The sequence below is a fragment of the Homo sapiens genome, chromosome 19, assembly GCF_000001405.40.
Source record: "Homo sapiens chromosome 19, GRCh38.p14 Primary Assembly".
Classification (NCBI taxonomy): Eukaryota; Metazoa; Chordata; class Mammalia; order Primates; family Hominidae; genus Homo; species Homo sapiens.
This window is the reverse complement of record NC_000019.10, coordinates 51991332-52011245: the sequence shown is the minus strand read 5'-3', so window position 1 is coordinate 52011245 and position 19914 is coordinate 51991332. Positions and strand designations below refer to the sequence as shown.

At 39.9% G+C, this 19914-nt stretch overlaps 1 protein-coding gene and 1 long non-coding RNA gene across 17 annotated transcripts in view, besides 2 other annotated features; one reads left to right on the top strand and one right to left on the bottom strand.

Moving 5' to 3' along the window:
* LOC124904755 (uncharacterized) overlaps positions 1-2948 on the bottom strand; it is a 14272-nt gene extending 11324 nt beyond the window's left edge. For both annotated transcript variants that reach the window (XR_007067321.1, XR_007067322.1), the window contains exon 1: positions 2767-2948. This is a non-coding gene — a long non-coding RNA (uncharacterized LOC124904755). The remainder of the gene's footprint in view (positions 1-2766) is intronic.
* Positions 2525-2604: an enhancer, noted in NCBI's record as "active region_15033". NCBI's record gives its function as "activates an Ori minimal core promoter by ATAC-STARR-seq in GM12878 lymphoblastoid cells {active_cell/tissue: GM12878}" and the evidence as "EXISTENCE:reporter gene assay evidence [ECO:0000049][PMID:35858748]".
* Positions 2665-3274: an enhancer, noted in NCBI's record as "active region_15032". NCBI's record gives its function as "activates an Ori minimal core promoter by ATAC-STARR-seq in GM12878 lymphoblastoid cells {active_cell/tissue: GM12878}" and the evidence as "EXISTENCE:reporter gene assay evidence [ECO:0000049][PMID:35858748]".
* Positions 3035-19914, top strand: ZNF615 (zinc finger protein 615). 15 transcript variants are annotated; one of them, XM_047438644.1, is made up of 8 exons: positions 3035-3105; positions 3916-3953; positions 6523-6829; positions 7346-7549; positions 8965-9091; positions 9338-9433; positions 10868-10900; positions 16409-19914. In XM_047438644.1, the coding sequence occupies exons 4-8, from the start codon at positions 7535-7537 to the stop codon at positions 18364-18366; spliced, it is 2229 nt and encodes a 742-aa protein (XP_047294600.1). In that variant the 5' UTR covers positions 3035-3105; positions 3916-3953; positions 6523-6829; positions 7346-7534; the 3' UTR covers positions 18367-19914. The 15 variants fall into 15 exon arrangements, with proteins under 15 accessions (XP_047294600.1, XP_047294601.1, XP_047294603.1 ...); XM_047438645.1 differs by having other exon boundaries at positions 6397-6829; XM_047438647.1 differs by lacking the exon at positions 3916-3953.

Below are 19914 nucleotides of genomic sequence, written 5' to 3'. Positions count from 1 at the left end.
GTTTGCAGACAGCTGTATCCTTCCCAGGTGGCCCTACAGAGGAAGGCACACCCGACTTTTCCAATGTCCTGCAGACCCAGCTGTCTCAACTCTTATGGTGATCCAAGAGTGAGGGCCCCTCCCTACTTGGACACCACCCAAGCTGGCAAGTCCTGCTTGGCTAGGAGCAGGGATAAGCACTTGGATGGCAGATTAGGTGACCCCCACCCACTCATGGCATTATGTTTGTCCACAGAGTTTAGTAACAATTGGGACTGCTGGGCCGGAGGCTCTAGTGGTTGGATTTTGACTGGGGCTGCATGGTCTAAATAGCTTTTTTCACATATTTGGGCTTCTGCTGGAATGGATGAGGCCTTTATTTACACAGTCAACAAGAGGCTAGTCTGGGCTTTCTTACAATGTGTTGGAAGATCTCTAAGAGACAAGCAAGCCTTGATGAGCAAGCTTATTTCTCACCTCCATTTGTGTTACACTTGCTACTGTCCTATTGGACACATTAGTCAGTCACTATGGAGAATACTATCCAAAGATGTGAATATAGAGATGCAAGAATAAATTTATGCAATAACCACAAAAGTATTTGTTTCCTTATAATTGTCAGATCAATACCATAAATATCCTTGCACATATTTGTTCTCACAAAGAAAAGTTCTATTGAATCAATTCTTAAAATTCATGGCTCAAGGAGAAGGAAAAGTTTAAACTGGGTAATAACAGACTGTACTACAAAAACATTTTACGAATTTATATAGAAACACAATCCTATACCTAGAAATAATGTAATGCTTAAGAACTTCGAATTATGACCAGTATGATAATATCTCAATTCATTTAAAGCAGTATGTAATTGACAACATTATTACCTACCATGCAGAAAAAGAAGACTTAAAGAGGCTTAGCATAACAGAATGCCTTTGTTCCATGGCCTTATAATCTAAATATGATTTGTCATTCAATCTTTACAAATCTTAATAAGGGTTAAAACATTTATATTTCACGTTTACTTTGCATTTGTTTGAATATTAGTAAAACTGGTATTTTTTAAATTGTTTAGGATCATTTACATTAAAAAAAGTGTCCTGTTTATTTCCTTCATGTATTTATAGAAAATTTTAGGGAGCTTTTAAGTTGATCATCTTTTCCTTATTTTTATTTATTTTTTTTTTTGAGACAAGAGTCTCACTCTGTCTCTCAGGCTGGGGTGCAGTGGCATGATCTTGGCTCACTGCAACCTCTGCCTCCTGGGTTCAAGCGATTCTCGTGCCTCAGCCTTCCAAGTAAATGGGACTACAGGCCTGAGACACCATGCCCAGCTAATTTTTTTTGTATTTTAGTAGCTATGGGGTTTCGCCATGTTGGCCAGGCTGATCTCAAACTCCTGAACTCAGGCAATCCTCCCGCTTTGGCCTCCCAAAGTGTTAGGATTACAGGCATGAGCCACCGCGCCCATCTTTTTTCTTATTTCTTTTCAGATCTCTTTATAGGCCGGGTGAAGGGTGAAGTGGCTCACACCTGTAATCCCAGCACTTTTGGAGGATGAAGTGGGAGGACTGCTTGAGGCCAGTTCAAGACCAGCTGGGCATCATAGTGAGACCCTTGTCTCTACAGAAAATTAAAAAATTAGCCAGGTGTGGTGGTGCCCACCTGTAGTCCCAGCTATTCAGGAGCCCAGGAGTTCCAAGTTACAGTGAGCTGTGATCTCCCCAGGCACTCCAGACTGGGCAACAGAGTGGACCTTGCCTCAAAAAGAGACAAAAAAAAAACAAAAAAAAAGAAAAACTCTCATATACCAAGGGTGAGAAGAGCAAATGGAACACGAACTTGACTCTGAAAAATAGTTTGACAATTTCTCTGTATATTTATATACTGATACCTATATCACACACATAGATTCACACAGGCATTTCCTTTCTCTCATTCTTCTAATATAGGAAGTTTGGTTGGATTTATATTTACAGTTCAGCATTGCCATGACTTTGCACATACTATTCGCGGTTGGCACACGTAGTATAACGTGATCTCCTTCTTAACCTTTCTTTCTTTTGTTTTTTTTTTGAGATGGAGTTTTGCTCCTGTTGCCCAGGCTGGAGTGCAATGACGCCATCTTGGCCCACAGCAACCTCCGCCTCCCGGGTTCAAGCGATTCTCCTGCCTCAGCCTCCCGAGTAGCTGGGATTACAGGCATGCGCCACCATGCCTGGCTAATTTTGTATTTTTAGTAGAGACAGGGTTTCTCCATGTTGGTCAGGCTGGTCTCGAACTCCCGCTCTCAGGTGATCCGCCCACCTCGGCCTCCCAAAGTGCTGGGATTACAGGCGTGAGCCACCGCGCCCGGCCTCTTTCCCAACCTTTTTTTTCTCACTGAAGTGGTCCTGTTCCCTTAATTTCTGGCCACTTCTCCTGAGTCCAGCCCTCATATTTGGCTCCACCTGGGTCCCAGGCTCTCCCCTCCGCCTTGGGAACTATACTTTCTGGCTTTTACTGGCTTTTCCCCATGCCTTTCACCCAACATAATTTTGGCACGTTCCAACCGTTTTCATTACCTAGTCTGTGACTGCTACCCCTGTTCCGTCAGCGTAGCTAACAGCCCTCTTCTGCGTTCAAAAGGCGCTTCAAGCTACTTTGTTAGAAATCTGGCTTTGGCCGAAGTGTCCCCTCTCGGCCGGTTCTCCTTTTCCCTCACAAGGAACTGTTTCCTAACCTTTGTACAAAGTGTAAACGTCGCGGCCATCTTAGCCTTCTATTCAGCTGCTGAAAGGGATTTACCTCCACGCCATTTTTGTCTTGTGTAAACTGGAGCCTCTGTATATGGACCCGTATTTATGAAGGGTTGAGGTGCCAGGAAATGGGACAGTTTCAGTGCTCTTTCATCTTCCCGGCCATCCCCGGTCACCCCCGGTCACCCCCGGTCACCAGCGCCAAAACGCGCCCTTTGCCTTGTGTACGTCAGATACTCAAAGATGGCGGCCCCCATGGAGCCAAGGCGACGAGGGCGCGGCCATCTTGCATCTGCGCAAACGCTGGGAACGCCTCCGACCCTGGATAGTCGCCGTCAGGCACTGAGGAGGCCGAGAGATGAGGCCGGAGCCCACCAAGTTCTGGGAAGTAAGTTCAGTCACTGGGTGGTCGCTGTGGTGACGGGGGAGGAAATTCTGTCCGTGGCTGGGCGTGTTCGTGGACAGTGGTGATGGACTGGTATCTGTCGGCGCCAGCGTTTGGCGACGCCAGTGGAATTCTTTCAGGAGCTTAGCGTGGGTCCGATTCCTATCGCAGGGGAACTACAAGAGGTCCGTGATAGGGTGTGTGTGTGTGTGATCGGGGTACCTCTGGGACCAGTCACAGGGTCCTCGTGTAGTTTGTGGTTAAAGATCTCTAGAGATCCGCTACTGAGTGCCCAAGTCACATTCTGGTGTCTTTGGTGTTGTCCTTTGGCGGGGCTCAGTGATTGCGAACTGGAGGGTTTGTTTTGTCAGCGAATCGGTTTATGGTTCAGGTTTTGTTTGGGACTAAATGATTGAGGAACTGTCTTGGGGGTTAAGGTACGGAGGTTTCTGATCCAGGTTTTGGAATTAATCCCGGTGGCGGTGGTGGTAGCGCCACAGATTCCGATGTGGGCTGCAGCTCTGGAGGCCTGGGAACCATGGCAGGTGATGGGTTAGCCCCAGCCCTGGCTGCTGGAACAGAATTGATGCTCATTAGCATTCCCCTTCTGCCCAAGACCCTTCTCCACGACTGGTTTTTAAATCCCCTTTGGCACCTTCCATCACCCCTTGGTCTTGAATCCTCAGAAATGGAAGTTTTTGGCGAGATCAGTCATCTAGCATACCTAAAAGTAGTATGTTTTATATTTAAGATGCGGCTTCTACCCTTTGTCCTGCAAGTTTCCAGCGTATCCTCTTGGATATTTCTTTTCAGGTTCTTTCTGACACAAGTAAGATAACATCTCTGCCATGGTAAGCTCGGTTACTCAAAGATAACCTTTGTCAAATTTTCAGAATATTTCAATTTTAGACGTGTATGTTATGTGCTTAATATTCATAATTCAGATAAATTATGTAAATGGTACTATTATCTTTTTCGCTTTATATTATGTAATAAACATTTAGAAGTTGTTTTTACTGTTTGAGCCGGTGGTACTATAAGTGCATTCACATTAAGTTTATGCGTACATTTGGATAGAAGTGAAATGTTTTAAAATGTTTAGGTATTATTTTTAGGAACATTTTATGATTATCCATTTATCCATGAATTTTGTTTTTCCTGCCTTTAATCTTCAATCTAGACTATTACTTTTATTGCAGTGTATTGCTTTCTGACTCCCCTTTCCTTATAATCTATAACAAAAGATAAATTAATTTTAAATATTTATTTTATATTTGGTCATCTTAATTCTTAGTATTACAATATTTTTCTCTCTGCCTAACATATTATTTTGTGAAAATTTTTGAACCTATGGAAATATTGAAAGAAGTTTAATGTTAATACCAATATGCCTACCACCTAGCTTTTACCATTAACATTGTATTAGATCAGCTCTACTGGTTTTCTAAGTATTCATCCATTCCTCTGTTTGTGAATCATTCCTTATTTGTTGTCGATTTTGGTATATTTCAAAGTAAGTTACAGACATAAGTACCATTCCTCTAAATAATTCTGTATATGATTAACTAGAATTCTACTAATAGCCCTTTAATTGCTTTATTTATTTACTTAATAGGGAGGCATCTGATTTACAGATAATTTTGGTTCGGTATAAAGTAGAGTAAAAGTGGATTTTGAAGTGAAACAAAAGTGGATTTTCAGCCCTGATTCTGCTTCTTGCTCATTGTGTGATTGGCATAACTTGTGTCGCTTTACTTGTTGGCCAAAAGAGGAGTTAAACATCTTTTCCTCACGATTATCTCTGAGGATTATTTTTGGTTTTGTCTTTTGTAAAATTTGTATTTATATTCATTTTTTTCTCTCCCTTCCTCCCGCCTGGTTTCTCTCTTTTTTCTATTAATGAAAACATTTAAAGCCGTAAACTTATATTACTGAACTACCATCAGCAATTTTATTTTAAATGTAGAATGCTAATATTTTTCTGATGTAAACCTGTGTTTTCCCTATGAAAAATCAAGTGAAGAAAGTAAAAATGACCTGTCAGATAGCACACTTTTGCCAATATTACCTTTTAAGAAAGTTTTAGGAATGGGGTTTTGGGTTACCAGGTATACCTTTATTGGCAATTTTCAATAGAATGTTAAATTGTTCCCAAGAAAGGTTCTGCTCTTAATACTGACTCGATCTGTATATGCTTTAGGAGGATATAGGATTTTTCTATTTAAATTTTGTATCCAGCCACCTGACTAAAGGAATACAGACGTATTAGGCAAATACTGATAATTTGCCCCTTATATTCAAAAGTCATCTTTGATTATTTTTTTATACTGCATTCTACTGAGTGACATTCTAGACCCAAATTCTCAACTCTGCCATTGTAATGTGATAATAGCCTGAGATGAAATGTCATGGAATGCATGTAGCTGTGTTCTTATAAGACTTTATTTACAAAACAGGTGGTCCAGGTCCTGGATACTATATTACTGACTCTTGATTTAGGTGACCATATGGCTTTTCTGCACAAATTCACAGTTGGGCAACTAGAGCCCATGGACTAAATCTCCCAGCACCTGTTTCTGTTAATAAAGTTTTGTTGGGACCTGGCCACAATCATTTGTCTATTTTTTTGTATGTGGGCATTTTTGAGCTACAACAGTAGAGTTGAGTAGCTGCCACGGAAACCATAGACCTCTCTTTTAACATGGAAATAATTTTTTAAAAATTAGTTTTATTGCTGACACTATTGATTACAAACAACATATAAACTTATTTGTTAATGTTATGGTAATTAGTATTTTATACTCTTCTGCTATGCAGATATCTTAAAATACGTTTTCATTTGCCATCCTCCTACTTTATATGTTCTTTTTTGTTGTTGTTGTTTTGAGATAGAATCTCACTCTGTCACCCAGGCTGGAGTGCAATGGCACAATCTTGGCTCACTGCACCCTCCGCTTCCTGGGTTCAAGCAATTCTCCTGCCTCAGCCTCCTGAGTAGCTGGGATTATAGGCACGCGCTACCATGCCCAGCTAATTTTTGTATTTTTAGTAGAGACGGGGTTTCACCATGTTGGTCAGGCTGATCTCGAACTCCTGACCTCGTGATCTGCCCACCTCGGCCTCCCAAAGTGTTGGGATTACAGGCGTGAGCCACCGCACCCGGCCTATATGTTCTTATGGAATATTTTAACACTATATATATTAAAACTTCCTGATATATTATTATCAGTATTATTTTTCCAGTCAATACTGATTTAGGCTTTATTAATTACTTACCGTTTTGTTCCTCTTCAGACCTTGCTCCTCTGCTTACACTGGAGTCATCTTTCTTTTGCTTGAAGAATATCCGTTAGGATTTGCTGTAATATGTAATTCCTCAAGGATATTTTTGCTGAGTATCCTTTATACATTTATACTTAGAATACTTTGCAAGTATCAAGATGTGGATGGCGGCCGGGTGCAGTGGCTCATGCCTGTAGTCCCAGCACTTTGGGAGGCTGAGATGGGTGGATCAGTTGAGCTCAGGAGTTCAAGACCAGCCTGGCCAACATGGTGAAACCCCGTTTCTACTAAAAGTACAAAAATTAGCAGCGCATGTGGCGTTCACCTGTAATCCCAGCTTCTCAGGCGGCTGAAGCAGGAGAATCGCTTGAACCCAGGAGATGGAGGTTGCAGTGAACAGAGATCACGCCACTGGAGTCTTACTCACTCCAGCCTGGGCAACAGAGTGAGTGAAACTCAGTCTCAAAAAAAAAAGAAAAAAAGTCAAAGATGTGGATGGTAATGAATAATTTAAATAAGATAGTGCTTATTATTTGCTTAGGACAGTGTTCTCAGATTGCAGTATCCTAGAATGTAAAAAGACCTCTGAAAAGGTAGATGGGTACACATGGTTTTAAAGAAAAAATGTGTGCATCTTAACTGTCTATGTGACCTCTTTCCTAAAACTGGTCTGCCTGAGGATTGCCCAGCTGCTGGGCATCACGTTGTGACGATTCTTTTCCCCACATTCTCTTTCACTTACTAGCAGTAGTCATACCACGTCAACTTTATATAGAAGGGTGCTGTACCTCCCATATATTCAGAATGTTATATTTTACTAGCCCAGATATAAAAGCTTCTGGAGCACTAAATAAAAGAACAGAGAGATATTTGGGGGCCTTGATTTAAGGTGAGCATATAGGAACAGTGACAACATCTGGGCCTAAAAAGAATGTACCACTCAGAGTAATTTGCTCTTCAGCCCACAGGTGCTGAGAACAAGAGAAATCAAGTGAAGGAAGGAGGCGGAGTTTCCAAGACTTGGGTGTCATCATTTCTGGGGACATCCTTGATTGGAGATTGAAGTTTTTGAACCGAAATTTAGAGCTGATTCAGAAGAGACAAATACAGAACGTCCAAGTTAGCAGTCATTTCCCAAATTTAGGAGACAATGATGCAGGCCCAGGTGACTTTTGGTTTGTTTTATTCTTTCCTTTATTCTCCAATGTATTTTTAAAGTCCTGTAAAAATCAGGGTAATTAATCAGAAAAGTATAAATTGGAAATATCAGGACCTGGAGAAATCTGGGCAAAGAAGGATCAGGGATATATTATTCATAGGATTCATACTACATGATTCATGTTGGAATTTGTGACTGTGTGGGACCCCGTAGGTTACATTTGCTGTAAACTTGCCTCTAGTATCTCTGACAAGCTATACAAGAGAAACATGATAAGTTATATCAACTGTGAGAAAGCAGACCAGTTTCTTGAGGGATGTTAATGTTTCATGGCTTATAATTCTGAGGCTCAAATACATCTTTGATAGTTCTTCACGGAGGTGTTATGGTAGGTGGTGTTCTTAACTGTAGCCTTCTCATAAATGCAAAAGTAGATTTCTTTTAGCTGTTTCTTCATTGTATTTAATGTTATTAACGCTGTCTAATAACATACACATATATATGAATTTGTCTGTGTGCATACATGTGTCTGCATATATATTCTAAGGATTTTTTTTTCCAAATTTGCTTAATCATGGCCAGGCGCTGTGGCTCACACCTGTAATCCCAGCACTTTGGAAGGCCAAGGCGGGTGGATCACCTGAGGTCAGGAGTGTGAGACCAGCCTGGCCAACGTGGTGAAACCTCATCTCTACTAAAAATACAAAAATTAGCCAGGTGTGGTGGCGTGCGCCTGTAATCCCAGCTACTAGGGAGGCTGAGGCAGGAGAATTGCTTGAACCCGGGAGGCAGAAGTTGCAGTGAGCCGAGATTGTGCCACTGCACTCCAGCCTGGGCAACAGAGCAAGACTCCATCTCAAAAAAAAAAACAAGCAAGCAAAAAAACAGATTTGTTTAATCATCTAATAATCTTTGTGCTTTATACATGTTTTATATAGTCTCTTTTATTTCATTCAGAATAAAATAATAATATGGTTAACTATGTTAACCATAGTTATTTAGAATGCATTGTCTTGTGATACTAGCATCTGCCATGTCTTCATTACAGAGTTTGATATTGGCCTGAAAGCTCATAGTGAATTTAAGAATCTGAATTATTCGTCTACTTGTAACTGGCATATACTTATGACTAGTTTGGTATTGGGAAATAGATGCTACATGTTATAGATGTTCTTTCATTAGCAAGAGGATTGGATAGCTGTGTATTACAGACATTTCTTTGACTTTTCAACATTGTTGAATGAATGGATGACCGCACAGTTACAGAATATTTTACTGGAATTCTTATTCTGTCAAAATGTACTAAGAAAAAAACCCCACCAGCTTCCTATGTGGTGAAAATGAGCGGAATGACTTCCTTGACATTCTTTTCCTATCACCAAAAGAATATGACTTCATTAAACAGAAGTGTGTTATTACAGGAATCCCTAACACTGGAGGATGTGGCTGTGGACTTCACCTGGGAGGAGTGGCAGTTCCTGAGCCCTGCTCAGAAGGACCTGTACCGGGACGTGATGTTGGAGAACTACAGCAACCTGGTGGCAGTGGGTGAGGACAGCTGCCCTGTGTCACTCAGAGGGTGCCCAGTCAGTGGCCTTCCTTTCTCAGCTGCTTACCTGCAGTACTCTGAAGTGGTAGATTCTCACATCATTCTCTTGCCCCACACAAGAGAGTATAATCTACCTTCTTGTTACAGATCTGATACCTATGTAGTCCTTAAAATGTAACTCTCCTTTTTCAATATTGCCAGCCCCGTTTGATTTGTCTAAATCTTCTGTCATTTCCCATGAACAGGGTATCAAGCCAGCAAACCAGATGCACTCTCCAAATTGGAACGAGGAGAAGAAACTTGCACAACAGAAGATGAAATCTACTCTCGAATCTGTTCTGGTGAGTGAGAGGAGCAGCCAGGTGGACAGCCACAGACACCATGTTCTGCCCACACAGAGCAGGCGTCAAAGCAGTGAGGGCATCTGAGGACACAGCAACAGCCCCTCCATCACTCCTTCTTCCCAAGGAAGAGCTCTTTTTTGTTATAGTATGGAAAATATGCCCCACTTTCTTTTCTTTTTTTTTTTTTTTTTTTGAGATGGAGTCTTGCTCTGTCACCAGGCTGGAGAGCAGTAGCGCAATCTTGGCTCACTGCAACCTCCGCCTCCCGGGTTCAAGGGATTCTCCTGCCTCAGCCTCCTGAGTAGCTGGGACTACAGGTGCGTACCACCACGCCCAGCTAATTTTTGTATTTTTAGTAGAAACGGGGTTTCACCATATTGGCCAGGATGGTCTTGATCTCTTGACCTTGTGATCTGCCCACCTTGGCCTCCCAAAGTGCTGAGATTACAGGCTTGAGCCACTGCGCCCGGCCCCCACTTTTTTTCCTTGAGATTTCATCTTTGTTTATTTTATGCACATCTTGTTTTTGTCTACATAATTATCTTCTTAGGATTTTCAAATCTGCCTTTTCTTGTCCACTGTCACAGTGTCTCTGCTTGTGTATTACCTCTCTTGCTATGAAATTCCATTTTCCAGGCCTCTCCGGAAAGAGAGACCTTTGAACTCATTACTTTTTTCTGACTACTGCATCTTCCTGCCCTAGTAGGAAAATAATAATTTTCCTTCATTATTCCCACTCTGGGAATCATTATTTTCCCTCATTTTCTCCACTCTGGATGCTGTGCCCATGATAACCTGGTCTCTGATTGGCATTTATGTGTTTCTTAAGTTCTCTTATTCCTCTTATACTGAATCCTGAGTTTCTCCATACTTTTTTTTTTTGGAAAGAAGGTCTCATCTGTCACCCAGGCTCACTGTAGCCTTGACCTCCTCGGCTCAAGCGATCCTCCCACCTCAGCCTCTTAAGTGGCTGGGACTACAGGCACACATCACCATGCTCAGCTGATTTTTGTATTTCTTATAGAGGTGGGGTTTTGTCATGTTGCCTAGGCTGGTCTTGAACTCCTTGGCTCAAGTAATCTGTCAGCCTTGGCCTCCCAAAGTGCTGGGATTACAGCGTGAGCCTCCGTGCCCAGCCCATCCTTCTTCCATTTTCTTTACTGTTCTCATAACTTTTAAAAGTTTTTTTCATTCCCGTGAATTAACTCTTCATTCTCTGGAAGAGACTACCAAATTAACTTCTGCCTTAATATTATCTAATGTATACTTTATTTCCATGTATTTTACTTGTCTTCATGACAACTAGCCTGTAACTTCCCATTTTGTGTATGAGGAACAAGAATCATCTTCCCTCTAAGAATAATGCTTTTGGCTATCCTTATATAATTTTATTTTTTTAATTTTATTTTATCTTTTATGTTTTTATTTTAGATTCAGGAGGTGCATCAGGAGGTGCATATGCAGGTTTGTCTCATGGATATATTGCCTGATGCCGAGGATTCACTAGAAGCTCAATCCTGTCACCCAAGTAGTGAACATAGTACCAAATAGGTGGTTCTTCAACCCTTGCCTTCCTCCCTTCTTCCTCTTGGAGTCCCCAGTGTCTATTGTTCCTGTCTTGATGTCCCTGTGTTCCCAATGTTTAGCTCTTGCCTACAAGTGAGAATACACAGTATTTGGTTTTCTGTTTCTGAGTTATTTCACTTAGGGTAATGGCTTCCAGCTGCATCCATGTTGCTGCAAATGACATGCTTTAGTTCTTTTTTATGGCTTTGTAGTATTCCATGGTGTATATATACCACAGTTATCCTGTTCACCATTGATGGGAACCTAGGTTGATTCCATGTCTTTGCTGTTGTGAATCGTGCTGCAGGCTGTCCTGTTTAAATCCAGGGTCTCTTTCATTACTGCACATCTTAAATTCTGGCATTACCTTAAGTGTTTTCTACATGCTGAACTCTCTTAAAGTTCTCTACTTTAAGATAATGTTTTGATTAATTAGAAAAGATCTTTTAATATCGTATATTATTTCTAGCCCAAACCATCAGACATTTATGCCTGCTGCAAATTACTTCCTTCATAGTTTTGCTAATTCTGAACTTTCTTTAATTCATGTTAGATGTTTTGACTGCATTCATTTCTGTATAGCTTTTGCTTTTTTCATCATATTTGTAAACTATTATTGAGATACAATGCACATATCACATGATTTCACCCATTTAAGGTGTATAAGCCAGTGGTTTTTAATCTATTCACCTAGTTGTGTAACCATACCACAATCAATTTTGGAACATATACTATGTATAAATATATATTATCAAATAGTCTTGATGATTATGGTTCTATAGTAAGTTTTGAAATTGGGAAGTGTGAGTCCTCCATCTTTGTTCTTTGCTTTGAAGGTTGTTTTGACTATTCTGAGTCCTTTGAATTTCCATTTGAAGTTTAGAATCAGTTGTAAATTTCTACAAAAAGAGTGGCTAGGATTTTGGTAGGTACTGCACTGAGTCTGTGTAACAATTTTGGGGAGTATTCCCATTTTCATCATATTAAGTATTCTGATCCATGAACACTGGACAGTTTTATATCCTGTTAGGTCTTTGACTTCTTTCGACAATGCATTATCACTTTCAGAATATAAATTTGGTACTTCCTTTGCTAAGTATATTCCTAAGTATAGTTTTCTTTTTGTTTCTGCAGTTAATGGAATTGTTTTCTTGATTACATTTTCAGATTATTCATTGCTAGAATATAGAAATAACATTAATTACTTTTCTATCATATTTTGATGACACCTAGTCCCAGTTAATCATGTTTCTTGTCATATGATTCCTTCCTTTAAAACTTGTGTTTTGGGCTGGGCGCGGTGGCTCATGCCTGTAATCCCAGCATTTTGGGAGGCCAAGGCAGATGGATCACTTGAGTTCAGGAGTTCGAGACCAGCCTGGCCAACATGGTGAAACCCCGTTTCTACTAAAAATACAAAAATTAGCCGGGTGTGGTGGTATGTGCCTATAATCCCAGCTACTCAGGAGGCTGAGGTGGGAGAATCGCCTGAACCCTGGAGGCAGACATTGCAATGAGCCAAGTTCATGCCACTGCACTCCAGGCTGGATGACAAACCCCCCTGCCTCCACCACACACCCAAAACTTGTGTTTTGATAGCCTACTATATTCCAACGCTATCAGCAGTACAAATAAGAAAGAAAAAACATACCATGTCCTTATTCTTCACAATGCTTTTGTTCTCTTAGAAGTAACCATATAACCAGTAATAAGCAGATATATAAATAACATATCTTGGAGTAAAAATTGCTATAAGGAAAGTTAAAGCAGCTGGTGGAACAGTAAGTGTTAGGAGTTGGCACTGTGCTTGTAGGGTGGGAACAGCTCTTTGTTAAGGTGCCTTTGAGCAGATAGATGATGAACACGTGTAGGCTCCCTGGATGAAGAGTGTTCCAGGTGTGAGACAATGAGAAGTTGAAAAATGACCCTGGAGTGTGTTTGAGGAACTTCTAGGAAGCTTGAATGGATAGAGTAGAGTGAGCAAAAGCAAAACTGTCTGGAAATAAGAACAGTGGGGGCATAGTTGGAAGTTTTGGTACAGAGGTCACATACTGCCTGTCAAGGGCATTCATGACCTTGATTTTATTCCAAATGAGTTGAGAACACAGTAGGGAGTTTTGAGTAGAGAAGTGACATGATATAACTAATTTATTTGATAGATTACTTTGCCTGCTACGTAGAAGGTAGACGTTAATGGGGAGGAGAGGGAACTGCTACACTCATGATTACAGTTTGTGACAGTGAAATAATACAAATTAAAATCATCAAAGATAAAAAGTATAGAAAGAAGAATCCAGGAGAAACTGGGTGCAAGCTTTCAGTTCTCCTGTTCTAGTGGAGTTGCACAAAGTGCTGAATTTTCCCTGCAACAGTGTTTGTCAACACATGTGAAGTTATTGCCAACTAGGGAAGCTCATCTAAGCCCAGTGTCTGTAGCCACCCAGAGTCAAAACAATACAAATGTGGCCCAAAGCCTGAGACATGCAAAACCAGGTGTCCACCATAAATCACATTGCTAGCATAAACTATCTGATATGACCCAAGGCCTCAGGCATTAAAAGATACCCTTAGCAGGCAGAATATTCCAGGGGCTCAGAGGTTATCTTTTAGAAGGCAGTTAAGACGAGTTCTTTCTTTGGAATGTGTAGGGATGGAATAGCCCAGGCCTGCTGAGTTAACACTTTGCTGCAAATCATTGTTCCCTCTTTCTGTAGCAACACGGGATAGTATGATCCAGTTAGGTCATTAGTTGGAGTCTTAAGTATAGAACCTTTCATCTAAACTTGAGATTGTGCTTTGGGAAAATTAGTTTAATGGTGGTACATAGAATGAAGAAGAATAGCAAGTTTGGGGAATGTGATAATCACTCAGCATGTGACACTTTAAATCAAATGCTGAGGATCTCACATTCTTCTGTTTTTTAAATTTATGATTTCTTTTCTTTATTTTTCTACTCTGTTACCCAGGCTGGAGTGCAGTGGCACAATCATGGCTCACTGCAGCCTCAATCTCCTGGGCTCAAGTGATCCTCCCACTTTAGCCTAGCTGGGACTACATGCCACCACACCCAGCTAATTTCTGTATTTTTTATAGAGAAAGGTCTCACTATGTTGCCCAGGCTGGTCTCAAATTTCTGGGCTCAAGTGATCCTCTTTGCCTCACCCTACCAAAGTGCTGGGATTACAGACATGAACCACCACACCAGGACATGATTACTTTTTAATTCCTAAATAAAAAATACATATATTTATCATGTAAAACATGTTGTTTTGAAATATGTGTACATTGTGGAATGGCTAAATTGAACAAATTAATGTATATACTACCTCACGTACTTACTTTTTTTGTGAGAACACTTAAAATCTATTTTAGCAATTTTCAAGAGGCTATTACATTCTTACCACTCCTAGATGTTTGTTTTGTACACCTGGGTCTCCACTTGTGCACCTGATCATAATAGTCAGCGTATGGTTCATTTCAGTGGACTTAACGAATTCCCAAACTCTACATGTTGGATTGACAAGATCCCTGGCCCTGTGCCTTCATTCTTTTTTTCTACATGTTTCCAACTAAAGTCTCATCCAGTACTCTTTCTTTGAATAATTTGTAAATGTTGGATGTCATCTACATTGCTGTTTCCAGATAAGGCCTTTTCGAGATTTATATATTCAACCAATTTCTTCATGTTTGTACTTGGATATGTGGTAATGGTCTTAAACTTTATGTGTTTCACAAGGCATGCTAAATTTTTCCCTTCATTCCAGATAGTAATATTCCTATTTTCATCATGAGGTTTTTTCTTCCTATCCAATGGCTGAAGCCATATAGTTTTGCGTTTTTTTTTTTTTTTTTTTTTTTGAGACAGAGTCTTGCTGTGTCACCCCAGCTGGAGTGCAGTGGTGTGATTTCAGCCCACTGCAACCTCCACCTCCTGGGTTCAAGCGATTCTTGTGCCTCAGCCTCCCAAGTAGCCGGGACTACGGGCATGTGCCACCATGCCTAATTTTTGTATTTTTAGTAGAGACACAGTTTCACTATGTTGGCCAGGCTGGTCTTGAACTCCTGGCCTCATGTGATCTACCCGCTTTGTCCTCCCAAAGTGCTGGGACTACAGGTGTGAGCCACTGTATCCAGCCTGAAACCATATAATTTTTGGAATAATCTTTGAGTCCTCACTTCCATTAACCCTCTTTCACTCGTCCCATTGAACCTATTAGTGAACCTTGTCATTTCTTTAACTATATCTTGATTTTCTCCACCTCTTATATCTCCATTGTTCCATTAACCACATTTCACAAAATGCAATTACCTTCTTTATTTTTTTGCTTCCTTGTGATTTCATTTTTTCCTAACTAAAATTAAACCTTCGTGAAAATTGGCTGAGTGCAGTGGCTCATGTCTGTAATCCCAGCACTTTGGGAGGCGGAGGGAGGTGGATCTTCTTGAGCTTGTGAGACCAGCCTAGATAACACAGCAAAAACCCATCTCTACCAAAAATACAAAAAATTAGCTGGGTGTGGTGGCACATGCCTGTGGTCCCAGCTAATCAAGAGGCTGAGGTGGGAGGATCACTTGAGCCTGGGAGGGAGAGGTTATAGTTGCAAGTAAGCTGAGATTGTGCCACTGCACTCCAGCCTTGGTGACAGAGACCCTGTCTCAAAAAAAAAAAAAAAAAAAAAGGAAGGTGTTTGTATATCCCAAACATGAGCATAGTGACTTACACATAGATGTCATTCAGCAAACATTTGTAGAATAAATTAATACAGCCTTTGTCATTTGGGATCAACCTGTGTGGTCTGATATTTCTCTTTATTTCTGTGGTCTGGTATCCTGCCAAATTTTGGGGTTCCCTGCAAAAAGTGACCTGTTTATATTTGACTATGTGTGTATTGTATAAAGACCTATTTAGAAAGCAGCCAAATCTATATACATTGTGAATTATCTAGCCTTGTTTGTACAGTTGCTTTTACTTTTCGGTGTGTTTATATTATTGTGTTTTATTTGTAAGAAATGAAGGATATTTATACATGGAATTTCCTTTATGTGTAAGAGATAAAAGGAATCTTACACATCTCTCCCAATGTGTAAGAGATGAGGGATATTTATACATGGAGTTTCCTTTATACTAAAATAGGGTTTTCAACCCCCTTTAGCTGTAATTTTCCACTACCTACCCAAATGCTATAAAACTGCCCTCCCCTTATCACCCTTTTCTGACTCCTTTTTCGGACTCAGTCCGCCTGCACCCAGGTGATTAAAAAGCTTTATTGCTCACAAAAAAATAAATAAATAAAATAGGGTTTTCACTAAAGAGTCACCTCACACCAAGGCAGTTTTAAAAAATAGTTTAAATAGTTTATTTCAAAACAAGATGATGGAGTGATTGACTGTTCTCTTCTTTCCTAGAAATCAGGAAAATTGATGATCCTCTGCAGCATCACTTGCAAAATCAAAGTATTCAGAAGAGTGTGAAACAGTGCCATGAACAGAATATGTTTGGAAATATTGTTAATCAGAACAAAGGTCATTTCCTGCTGAAGCAAGATTGTGATACGTTTGACTTACATGAAAAACCTTTAAAATCAAATTTAAGTTTTGAAAACCAGAAAAGGAGCTCTGGCCTAAAGAACTCTGCTGAGTTTAATAGAGATGGGAAATCCCTTTTTCATGCTAACCATAAACAATTTTATACTGAAATGAAGTTTCCTGCAATTGCAAAACCTATTAATAAGTCCCAGTTCATTAAGCAACAGAGAACTCACAACATAGAGAATGCCCATGTATGCAGTGAATGTGGGAAAGCCTTCCTCAAGTTGTCTCAGTTTATTGATCATCAGAGAGTTCACACTGGAGAAAAACCTCATGTATGCAGTATGTGTGGGAAAGCTTTCTCCAGAAAATCCAGACTAATGGACCATCAGAGAACTCATACAGAACTGAAACATTATGAATGCACTGAATGTGACAAAACCTTCCTCAAGAAATCACAGCTCAATATACATCAGAAAACTCATATGGGAGGGAAACCTTACACATGTAGCCAATGTGGGAAAGCCTTCATCAAGAAGTGTCGGCTCATTTATCATCAACGAACTCATACAGGAGAGAAACCCCATGGATGCAGTGTATGTGGGAAGGCCTTCTCTACAAAGTTCAGTCTCACTACACATCAGAAAACTCATACAGGAGAAAAACCTTATATATGTAGTGAATGTGGAAAAGGCTTCATTGAGAAGAGGCGTCTTACTGCACATCATCGAACTCATACTGGTGAGAAACCCTTTATATGCAATAAATGTGGGAAAGGCTTCACCTTGAAGAACAGTCTTATCACACATCAGCAAACTCATACAGGAGAGAAATTATATACATGTAGTGAATGTGGAAAAGGCTTTTCAATGAAGCACTGTCTCATGGTACATCAACGAACTCATACTGGAGAGAAACCTTATAAATGCAATGAGTGTGGAAAGGGCTTCGCTTTGAAGAGCCCACTCATCAGACATCAGCGAACACATACTGGAGAGAAACCCTATGTATGCACCGAATGTCGAAAAGGTTTCACCATGAAGAGTGACCTCATTGTACATCAGCGAACTCATACTGCAGAGAAGCCATATATATGCAATGATTGTGGAAAAGGCTTCACTGTGAAGAGCCGCCTTATTGTGCATCAGCGAACTCATACTGGAGAAAAACCCTATGTATGTGGTGAGTGTGGAAAAGGCTTTCCAGCAAAGATCCGGCTAATGGGACATCAACGAACTCATACAGGAGAGAAACCTTATATTTGCAATGAGTGTGGAAAAGGCTTCACTGAGAAGAGTCATCTCAATGTACATCGGCGCACTCATACAGGAGAGAAACCCTATGTATGCAGTGAATGTGGCAAAGGCTTAACTGGGAAAAGCATGCTCATTGCACATCAGCGAACTCATACTGGGGAGAAACCTTATATATGCAATGAATGTGGAAAGGGCTTCACCATGAAGAGTACTCTCAGTATACATCAGCAAACTCATACTGGAGAGAAGCCATACAAATGCAATGAATGTGATAAAACCTTCAGGAAGAAGACATGCCTCATACAACATCAGCGATTTCACACAGGAAAGACTTCCTTTGCATGTACTGAATGTGGAAAATTCTCTTTGCGCAAAAATGATCTTATTACACATCAGAGAATTCACACAGGAGAGAAACCGTACAAATGCAGTGACTGCGGGAAAGCCTTCACTACAAAATCAGGGCTCAATGTTCATCAAAGAAAACATACAGGAGAGAGGCCCTATGGATGTAGTGATTGTGGGAAAGCTTTTGCGCACTTGTCTATCCTTGTTAAACACAGGAGAATTCACAGGTAGTCATTTTGGGAAAGCCTCTTGCCAGATGTAGGCCCTTAAGATATCTGCAAAGAAGAGTAATTTCATGAATGCAGACTACATGGTTGTTTATTTAGTGATCAGTTACTTCATGTTTTGTGTCAGAGAAAACATGTACAAAACATTTGAGAAAATATTTTAGGACATTATGTCTAAAAATTGTATACTGAGAAAAATCCTATGAATGTGGCAGACTATAAAAGCCTTTGGTGGGAAGATAAACCCCCTCAGAAGTGATCATAGATCATGAATAAACTACTAATTCGTGGAAATGTAATAATTATAGGAACGTCTTTGCCCAAAAATAAAACTTCAACAGATTGAGAGAGTTCACACTGGAGAAATACTTTCCTCTGGCAAACCCCTGTGGCAGGGTTTTCAGTAAAATGTTTTGCCTCATCGTGTGCTAGGAAATAATGCAGAAAAAACTTATGAAAACATTCAATGTAGAAGACTTTTAGGAAAATATCAGAGAATTTAATGAAGGAAAGAAGCCTTGGCAAAATGATGGATGAGAGCTTTCTGTCACAATTCTAACCTTAACAGATAATATGCCTCATGTGCATTTGGGAACAGGATAGCTTGAGCCATATTCCTAGTTGCCTTGTCACTGATTTTATACATTTTAAATTGTGACTTCCTCTAATCACGAACTAAAATTTAATATTGTATATAATACCGGAGTATTTTATGCCTGCCTCATTTTATTATATGATTAGCTCCTGCATTTCTTTGGTTCTAAGTTTGTGTTATTTCAGAATAACTAAAGTACTTCAGAATGAAACTGGATACAGTATATTCAGTTCATAAGTGTAATTGACCATACTTGAATATGTTTAAGTTTATAAGTAACATCAGGTGTTATGAAATTAATATAAATAAGATGTTTTTGTAAGTTTTTATTTTGAAATAAGTTTAGATTCACAAAATCTTACCAAAATATTCCAGAGTTCTTGCCCTTAACCCAGCTTCTTCCAAAGATAACAACTTACATAAGCATAGTTCATTACCAAATACAGGAAAGTGAAATTGTTACAATACTGTTAACTACAGAATTTATTTGGAAATCACCAGTTTTAACATGCATGCATTTTTGTTTGTTTTTTATATGTAGCTTTAAGAAATCTTAACACATATATTGATTCATGTCACCACCACCGTAATCGAGATTCAGAATGTTGCATCAATGCAAACTCCCTCATGCTCCTTGTTTATAGTCACAACCTCTCCTCAGCCCTAACCCTTGGCAATCAGAAATCTTTTCATCTTTAGTTTTGTCATTAGTAGCATGTTATAAAAATGGAATCATACAGCATGTACCCTTTTGGTATTGGCTATTTCAACTAAAGCAGATTAACCTGAAATCCATCCAAGTTGTTCTGCATATCATTGTTCTGTTTTTATTGGCCACTAATAATCTATGATACGAATATACCACTATTTGTTTATTCACCCACTGAAGGACATTAGTTTTGTTCCCGGTTTTTCTTACTGTTACAAATAAAAATCCTATGAACATTTGTACACACA

What these genes read in the sequence shown, in the direction of transcription:
- ZNF615 (NM_001321323.2), top strand. Translation starts at nt 3,076, where the DNA reads ATGAGGCCGGAGCCCACCAAGTTCTGGGAA. An exon ending in AGCCCACCAAGTTCTGGGAA is followed by an intron (nt 3,106 to 8,964) that starts GTAAGTTCAGTC and finishes GTGTTATTACAG; the next exon opens with GAATCCCTAACACTGGAGGA. An exon ending in CAGCAACCTGGTGGCAGTGG is followed by an intron (nt 9,092 to 9,337) that starts GTGAGGACAGCT and finishes TCCCATGAACAG; the next exon opens with GGTATCAAGCCAGCAAACCA.